Source organism: Homo sapiens, chromosome 2 (assembly GCF_000001405.40).
Source record: "Homo sapiens chromosome 2, GRCh38.p14 Primary Assembly".
Taxonomy (NCBI): Eukaryota; Metazoa; Chordata; class Mammalia; order Primates; family Hominidae; genus Homo; species Homo sapiens.
Window position 1 is genome coordinate 53,569,948 of NC_000002.12, and position 9,788 is coordinate 53,579,735.

Below are 9,788 nucleotides of genomic sequence, written 5' to 3' on the forward strand. Positions count from 1 at the left end.
AACTTAAAGAATAGAAAATCTGAACTATTTTTAATGTGTTTTTTCCTCTTTTCACATTGAGATCACTTACATACAATAAAATGCATAGGCTTTGAGCGATGAACTTTGACAAATGCGTATATCCATGTAACCATAATGCTGGTCAAGACAAAAAGCATTTCCATCAGCACTAAATGTCCCCGTGTGTCCCTTCCAGTCAACTCACCACCACCACCCAGAGGCAATCACTGTTCTAATCCTAGTACCATAGAGTAGGTTTGCCGGTTCTAAAGCTTCATGTAAATGGAATCATACAGTTTGCACTCTTTTATATCTGACTGCTTTCGCTTGACATGTTTTCAAGATTCATCCATGCTGTGTTTATCCATATGTTATTTGTTTATTATACGGATATACCACAGTTTGTGTTTTCTTTTCTTATTTTAAAAATTAAAAGAATGCTTTATGAGTTTGCGTGTCATGCTTGCGCAGCGGCCACGCTAGTCTTCTCTGTATCGCTCCAATGTTAGCATCTGTGCCGCTGAAGCCAGCACTACCACAGTTTGTTTTCCACCCTCCTGGGAATGGACTTTTGGGTTTTTTCCAGTTTGAGGCTATGAGAACTACAAGTCTTCAGGTGAACATATGCTTCATTTCTCATAGGTAAATACCTAGGATTGGAGTTGCTGAGTCATAGGGTAGTCCTAAGGCTTAACTTTGTAAGAAATTGCCTGGCCAGGCATGATGGCTCGCGTTTGTAATCCCAACACTTTGGGAGGCTGAGGTGGGCTGATCATTTGAGCCCAGGAGTTTTGAGACCAGCCTAGGAAACATGGCAAAATCCTGTCTCTACAAAAAAATACAAAAATTAGCTGGGTGTGGTGTCACAGGCCTGTAGTCCCAGATACTCAGGAGGCTGAGGTGGGATGATCACTTGAGCCCAGGAGGCAGAGGCTGCAGTGAACTAAGATTGTACCACTAAACTCCAGCCTGGGTGACAGAGCTAGACGTTGTCTTAAAAAAAAGAAACTGCTGAACTTTTTTTTTTTACATGAACACTTCCATGTCCACTGATGCCCACATGCCAGCCTCAGCCACAGGCCAACTCTTTTTTTTTTTTTTTTTTTGAGATGCAGTCTCACTCTGTTGCCCAGGCTGGAATGCATGATCTCGGCTCACTGCAACCTCTGCCTCCCGGGTTCAAGTGATTCTTCTGCCTCAGCCTCTTGAGTAGCTGGGATTACAGGCGAGTGCCACCACGCCCAGCTAATTTTTGTATTTTTAGTAGAGTAGGGGTTTCACCATGTTGGCCAGGCTGGTCTCGAATGCCTGACCTTGTGATCCACCCGCCTCAGCCTCCCAAAGTGCTGGGATTACAGGCTTGAGCCACTGCGCCTGGCCGCCACAGGCCCACTCTTAAAAAGATAATGCATAATATAAGATTTTGTTTTTCTTTTCTTTTGTTTCTTTCTGCTCTGACAGGTAACTTTGATTGTCATTGACAGTTTTAAGAATTCAGTACCAACCACTGAAAGGGTATGAATATCCTTGCTTAAAGAAAGTTAAAAAGACCAGCTGTAGTGGCTCACGCCTGTAATCTCAGTACTTTGGGAGGCTGAGGCAGGTGGATCACTTGAGGTCAGGAGTTTGAGACCAGCCAGGCCAACATGATGAAACCCCATCTGTACTAAAAATACGAAAAATTAGCCGGGCGTGGTGGTGGGTGCCTGTAATTCCAGCTACTTGGGAGGCTGAGGTAGGAGAATCTCTTGAACATGGGAGGCGGAGGTTGCAGTGAGCTGAGACCACGCCACTGTACTGCAGCCTGGGCAACAAGAGCAAAACTCCATCTGAAAAAAAAAAAAAAAAGTTAAAAAAACAAAAGTGCTCCAAAGAAGACTTAACTCTTCAGACCAGGCCTTCAGAGGCTCTGCCAATAAAGAGATGCTATGTTCATTGTTGCAAACACATCCATTCCCGGGTTACCCTCTGAACTTAGGCAGCGGGAAACTTTTTTTTTTAATATTACCACTTGGTTTTAGCAGTGAAATCACTGCTAAAAGGGGGGGTATTGTGCAAATTAACATTATAATTAAATGCTTGGTACTAAAGTAATCTTGGACAAGTCTTTCCCTTTGTTTCTGCTTTGGAGACTTGGGGTTCCCCAAATCCTCTTGGGTGGCATTCAATGGCCAGCCCTGGCATTAGAGGGAGGACAGTTGTTCATGTTAAGACAGCTCCGGTTTTGCATGATCAGCAGCCATGCTCTACATGGGATTAAGATTTATCCCTTTGATAATATGAAAAACAAGTAAACAAAAGGCACTGCTTGAAAATAATGATTTACCACAGAACATATTTTGCTTTAGTCAAACCTTTTTTTCTTCCTAAGGAAAAAGTGTGTGGGCTTATCTCTTGAAAATGCCAGCATGGTTGTGAACACTGGGGAAATTAAAAGACTGAATACAATAGATTTCTTATGTATGCCTATGCAGGGAGTTGCATAGCTTATTTATTAAGTTGTGTGCTAGGGGAGGATTATCTGCTTTGAACTTATCTATTACTTTGTGACAGTGATTTTTAAATATGGGGTAGTTTTGTATTGTACAAAGCCAAGTTCAAATGGAATCTTAAACTTAATAACTTTGGGAGCTTTGGCTATGACTTAGAATTTGGAAAATCAGAGATATAAACATTGTCTCCACCACCACCCCTTGCCCAGAAAAGGAAAGAATTTGATGATATTCTATAGCCTTTTGACATAGCATCAATTATTCTTTCATAAAAATAGAAGTCAGTAGAACATTAGTACAGGTGTCTAGAGTAATGAATGCTGCCTAGCAAGGTTGATGGTCAGTACATCCCCATTTACTGCAATAGCCAAAAAAGAACTAAGACAGAGATGTCTCTGTCATGTGAGAAAGAGATGCACACTCTGGAGTCACATATTACAACAGGGAAACAATGGACACAATTGTGACTATCAGTGCAGCTTTCAGCTCAGTTCAAAGGCAAGAGTGGTCTCATTTATTAAATGGGATAGTTATGACCTGGTGCCTTGAAGTTTTATGCCACCAGCTAATACTCTGCACCAAAGACACTTCTTGTTTTTAACATGAAAAGTATGCAATAGCTATTAGCCGGTCTTCAGAATATTGCTCAGAATCTAAGTTAATGCTATTACTCTTATTTTATTTGAGGAGAATAAAGAGAATACATATACAGAGAATAAAGATATCTATTGACCTTCAAGAATGCTTGCCGCTTGTCCTGATCAAACTTATACTTTTGACCAAAAATATGAATCTCTACAAAGACTTTGTGAAATACTTTGTGATAGCTCTTTTAAATGACATTATCAAATATCTGTTCATTTTGGACCAAAACATAGAATGTGCAACATTAAAAATAGGATGGATTTTGTCCTGCCCTGATCCCAGCAGTTATGCCTGCAACTCCTGCAAAGGTAACCCTGTTATTGCCTCTTGACAATAACCCAGTTGGACAAGATATTTTATTAGAAAATTCTTTTGGAATGCATGGGCCTCTTGCTATTAGAAAATACTTTCTAACTAAAGAAAAATTTATTATTTCCATCGAAGGGAATGAGTGACCTATTATTTCAAAGCAGCATCCTTTCTTCCACAGATAAGTCAGTCAATATTTATTTTCATTCAAGAATCAGAGTTCCAAGCTGGCATAGTCTTACACGTATGGTCATGGTTTTGATAGGTACTAGGAAACACAAGTGTAATGAAACTCATCCCCAGAACCTGCTCAGCCCTGGGCAAACTGGTATGGTTAGTCACAGTATTTTAATAGCCAGCAAGGAACCAACAGTCCAAAATCCCTTTCTGACACCCCTTTCAGAATCTAAAAGTATCTTATTAAAATGAATCTCCTTTTAGTTCCAGAGTTCATATCATACTTCTAAATGATGCAGAGTAGCAGGTATATTTGCTTCTAGGGATGCCATAACCAGATGACTTAAAACAACAGAAAGGTATTCATTCACAATTCTGAAGGCTAGAAGTTCAAAATCAAGGTCTTGGCTGGATCGTCCTCCAAAGGCTCTGGAAAATAATCCTTCCTTGCCTCTCATATCTTCTGGTGGTTGCTGGCAATCATCGGCATTTCTTGATTTGTGGCAGCATCACTCCAATCTCTCCTTTTGTCTTTACATGGCCTTCTTCCCTGTGGGTCTATGTCTCTCTGTGTCTCTCGTCTTCTTATAAGCATACCAGTTACACTGGATTTAGTGTTCACCCTAATTCAATAGGACCTCATTTTAACTTAACTTATTACATCTATGGTAACATTCACAGTACAATAGAGTGAATGCATCCCCCACCCAATCCATATGTTAACCCCAAGGTGATGATATTAGGAGGTGGAGCCTTCAGGAAGAAATTAGATCATGAGGCTGGGGCCCTTATAAATGGGATTAGTACCCTTATTAAAGAGTTATCTTGTCCCTCTCGGCGCCATGTGAGGATTCAAAGGGAAGTTGCAGTCTACAACCTGGAAGAGCGTTCTCACCAGCACCTGACCATGCTGGCACCCTGATCTCAGACCTCCAGTCTACAAAACTGTGAGAAATGAATTTATGCTGTTTATAAGCCACTCAGTCTATGGCACTTTGTTATAGCAGCCCCAACAGACTAAGACACACAGGTACCTGCAATTAGGACTTCGATATAGCTTTCAGGGGACACAATTCAACCCATAAGAGCAAATTACCCCCATCTTCACGATTCCAGTGGTTCTCACCTCTGAACACACATTAGAATTACTTGAGGTAGTGTTAAAAACCAAAAACAATGCCCCCTCCCTTCTCCCCACTGCCATAAATTAAATCTTAATATCTAGAGCAGGGGTGGCCAATCTTTTGGCTTCCCTGGGCCACACTGGAGGAAGAATTATCTTGGGCCATACATAAAATACACTAACACTAACGATAGCTGATGAGCAAAAGCAAAAAAAAAAATTGCAAAAAACTCTCATAATGTCTTAAGAAAGTTTATGAATTTGTATTGGGCTGCATGCAGCCTGTGGGCTGTGGGTTGGACAGGTTGGACAGGCTTGATCTAGAGGAAGCCTGGATGCCATTATACTTTAAAGCTCCTCAGGTAATCCTCATACACAGCCAGTGTCAATAACCCCTCACAACCTTGAGGAATGATATCTGTAGCTAAACACAAGAAGGACTACTAAAAACGGCTTTTACTATGACTTCCTCTGTCCAAAATGTCCCCTCCAAGTCAGCCTGGTTTTAAGATGTAACTCAAACTCTTGCAACTTTTTTAGTAAATGCTGAACTGACAGTAAAAACATATATTTTAACACTAAGAAAGCTCCCAACAATCTACTTCACCCAAAAGAAAAAGTATATGGTGATTTAATCTCAAAAGTCAATTTTTTTAAATGTAAAGTTAATCTAAATACCTATTTAACTGTTTTGACTGACCTGAAACTTGTCTTAGAGCAAGACAAGTTTCTTGAACATGAATGTTCATGTTGTTCTTTCCAGGGATACTAATAAATATTTTCAATTAGAAGAAACTGTGACCTTTCTAAGACGAATGTCAACCAAGAATGCAAACTTATTTACAATAAATGATTTAGGGGAAAGAATTCCTGGTTTCAGATAAGTGAGGTTTTTCTCCTATACTTTCTCATTGCTTAGTGTTTTCCTCTCTGCTTAAGCTGGAGCTAGGAAGGTCTTTTTTGCTATTTGTTTCCTCACTCTCATTACTAGTTTTTTTTTTTTTTTTTTAATTAACGTTTCCAAGAAATCACATTTTCTGAAGGATACTCATGCTGAGATGACCGGCAGCGAGCCAGTGAGATCCTATTATATGCTGGATGGGCCAAGAGGACCAAGTAAAAATGAAACAGGATGTTCATTTAAGCAAATCAAAGATACTCTCTCACGCACCCATCCTATTTCTTTTCTCTGGGCTCTGAATATCCACACACCCGCAGTGCTTTCATCAAGGCACTTTTCTTTCCTGCCAGATCTGGAAGGGGAAAGATTCACTTCTCTTTCCCAAAGTGTCAACTTTTGTTGTTATTGATGCCGCCAAGCCTGCAATTACTTGATGAAGCTAATGGGCAAAAGCACTTAAAGGGCCACGCTTAGTGGTTCCATTGTCATAATCCATGTAAAATGAACCAGAGCCAACACAGCCTGACAAGCTTTCAGCCTATTATTATTGGGGGCTTATTTAAATTGCAGGTTTGATTAAATTTATAATTTAGCCATTCTACTTAGCACATTTTCCTTTTCTTTTAAAACTAACCCCAAGAGAGACATTTACAAAATTCCTTTCTCCAGCTGTCAGATGTGAAAAATGTCAGTGGCGTGGGTGGTCAGAGAGAGGGGTTGAAGTGTACTTAGAATAGTAAACTTAAATACAAATGGAATTTCACAGCTAACTATTCTTTACTGCTTTGTCAACGGATACAGCATATGTATTTATTCTTGTTTTAACTCCCCTATTAATCCTGCCATAGCACTGGGAAAAGAGTGCTGTGAAAAGCAAGTTCCCGTATAATCCTCTTCTCTCTTTCTTATCCTGATTAGATAAGCCTTTAACAAAGCATAAAGTATTTAAAGCTACTGCATTAAACACTAATATTTTAGCTGAAGAGTAAGGATATCACTTCAGATGGCCTTCTCTGGAAGAGAACAGTATTTCCCTGAGAAGTCAGCAACATATAAATATGTTTAAGACAGTTATCTCTTAGGCCATTCAAAATGTGCACCATCAAAAGTGATAACTAATGACACCCTCACGCAAATATTTTATTGCGGCAAATGTGAAGGTATCGTGCAACAAAATAAAATCTAATATGTATGATACATAGCAAATTTCATTATTCATTTCTTCAAACAATAATTACAGGGCATGGACCCAGGGCCAAACACCATGCTAAGTGCTGGGAAAACACAGACGCAGCCTCAGTGATGAACTGGGAAAATAGGCATGGAATGGATAATTATAAGAGATTCTGATTAAGTTCTGTAAGAAGACTGTGTACCTTGCTGAAAATGACCAGAGAAATGGAACTCTATGTCTCTGCCTCATTGTGGGGGTCGCAGGCAGGTTGTGAAAGGCTTGAAACAAGAGATGACTTGGGCATAGATCTTTAAGAATAAACTATTTCAAAATTAGTCAGCCAGGGAAGGGCACTGCAAGGAACAGCAGATACAAAAAGTATGGGGTCATGAAAGGGGGAGGTAGATGCAGGCGAAAGTTTGAAATTTAGCCTGAGTAGCTGTGGAGTGTCAGAAGAGAAGTAGGAGATACAGAAGGCAGTACAGATGGAATCATGAAGAAGTTTATGTGTCAAGCTAAGTAGTTTGAGCTTATCTTCTGAGCCGAAGGTTGTGTAATCAGGTGGCTCTTAGACATAGTTAATGGTTCCACATTGTGTTGTTTTGTTTCCGTTTATTTTTAAATATTGAGCTAATATTTAAAACTCAGGAGTTTCCCCCAAAAGAATCTGATGTCTGGCTTTTTTATTTTTAACATAGAACTTCTGCCAACACTATGCCTATATTTCCACAAGGATTTATTTATTTATTTATTTATTGTTTTTTATTTATTTTATTTTATTTTATTTTATTTATTTTGAGACAGAGTCTCGCTCTGTCGCCCAGGCTGGAGTGCAGTGGCGCAATCTCGACTCACTGCAAGCTCCGCCTCCTGGGTTCAAGCCATTCTCCTGCCTCAGCCTCCCAAGTAGCTGGGACTACAAGCACCCACCACCACGCCCGGCTACTTTTTTTGTATTTTTAGTAGAGACGGGGTTTCACCATGTTAATCACCTGGATCTCAGTAGCAGCTGGCTTCCCCACACAGGACACACAGTTTGCCACAGTCCCTACCATTCCCTATAGTCTTTCCAGTATGAACAATGAGTGTTAGCTGCCATTTATCATTGAACATGACCTTCTTTTCCTTGTAGTAGAGAGAAATGTTTCTCTGTACCCATATCTCTATCACAGATGGGGAAATAAGAGATGGTGAGGGGACACATGATTACTCACAGCCTAGTCATTTATGTTACCTGCCTGGCTTCTAAAGTTTACAACCCTAGGTTTATAATCCCTGCCCTAGACAGAATGAAGGTAATGACAAGATGAAATATCTTTTTCTAATAAGTTTTAGGGCTTTGATTGGAGCATTATTAAGTACTATCTGACTACAGAACTCAAAATATTTGAGTCCTGTCTTAGACTTTCTTCCCAGTGATCATCTTGAGGGAGACAAACTCCCATGTGATGAAAGAAAATGGAAAGCATGATCCATTTCATCATTATACACTGGGCTTTTGCCCACTATCCCATTGCAGAGCTTTTTTATTAAACCGGGCTAAAGCACATGGTTTAGGCTTAACACAGACAGGGCATCGCTAGGCCTCTTCCAGCTGGGCAGGGCTCAAGTGATAGTAACAGTCCTACAGAGTGCTTCAGAGGAAGAGAAACAGTAAGGTGGCCACATCTGGACTAGTAGGTTCTGACTCAGCTTACCCACTGGGACAGGACAGGACAAAAGAGTCATATTCATGGACATGGTCCTGCATATTTATAAGGTTAGCCCAACCATGTGTGGGAATTTGACTGCCCCTGTGCCTGAGACCTTCAAAAAGGAAACTCTGGTTACAGTGTGAAGAAGGTGGCTTGGGAATGGGGAGACTGATCACAGGAACATAAGTGAGTAGGCAAATTCAGTTGTCTATGCAATAAATGGCACCTCATAACATCAAGGCTGGGTGGAAACAATTTGTGTTTAACAAATGGTACAAATAGAACAGCAGGGTAGCTAAACCTGGTACCATCTCCCCGGTACACCTCCTATGCACTGCACAGGTTACCTCAGCTCCATATATATGCCACTAGATTCTAAACGAGGAAAATTAAGGGGGCAAGACAAAAATGGGTCCCTGTGGAGTATCACTTTGTACTGAAATTAGACTTGACAGAGGTCTCAGAGAAGCCCATTAGGAGATTAGATGCCCAACCAGGGCACAGTTTGAGGGAAAGGGGAACATTTTGTTGACAAAAGGTCTCTGCTGCCTCTGTCATAACTGGAAGGGAGGCAGATCCACCTTCGGGAAATAGACTGCTCGTCCCACATAGAGACACCAGTAGCAAAGGCCAGATTGCATGTGTCTCCCTAAGAGAGGGAGGCTTGGGTCAAACACTACAAGCAGATCAGGTCAGAATCTGGCACAGTCTTCCCAAAGCACGCAGCCAGAGGAGGGCAAGTGCAACTCTCCCCACGGCCATATAGGACCGACTGCTACTTGGCTCTAACTCCCCAGACTCCCATTTGAGTAAGGAGAGTGCTCGGCTGCCGTAGCAGAAACACAGACTTTGGGGTGGCTTAAGCAGAGATGGGCTTATTTGCCTCATGCTACAGAAAGTCCAGCAAGAGCAGCCCAGAGCTGATGCAGTGGCTCAGCCACGTAGCCAGGGATGCTACATCCCTCCTCCATCCTTAGCTTCTTGGCTTGTCACTTTATGGTTGTCAGCAAGAGGTTGCAGCCTCCCTACCCCATCCCCAGCTTCAGGTTCACATTCAAGGCAGGATGCTATCTACAGACAGGAAAGAGAATAAAGCAACTTCTCGAAGACAAGCAGAGATAAAAGGAGGAGCCCATGGCATAGCCTGTCAGCCTCCTAGATCTCCCAAATATGCAGCTCAATTCCTACCCATGCATTTCTGACAACACCCAGTATCCATACAATAAATGGGGAAATGAGTATTATTTATCTTTATAATAAGAATGGTCACACA

General features: G+C 41.1%; 1 pseudogene; it reads right to left on the bottom strand.

Moving 5' to 3' along the window:
* RNU6-997P (RNA, U6 small nuclear 997, pseudogene) lies at positions 427–533 on the bottom strand (annotated as a pseudogene).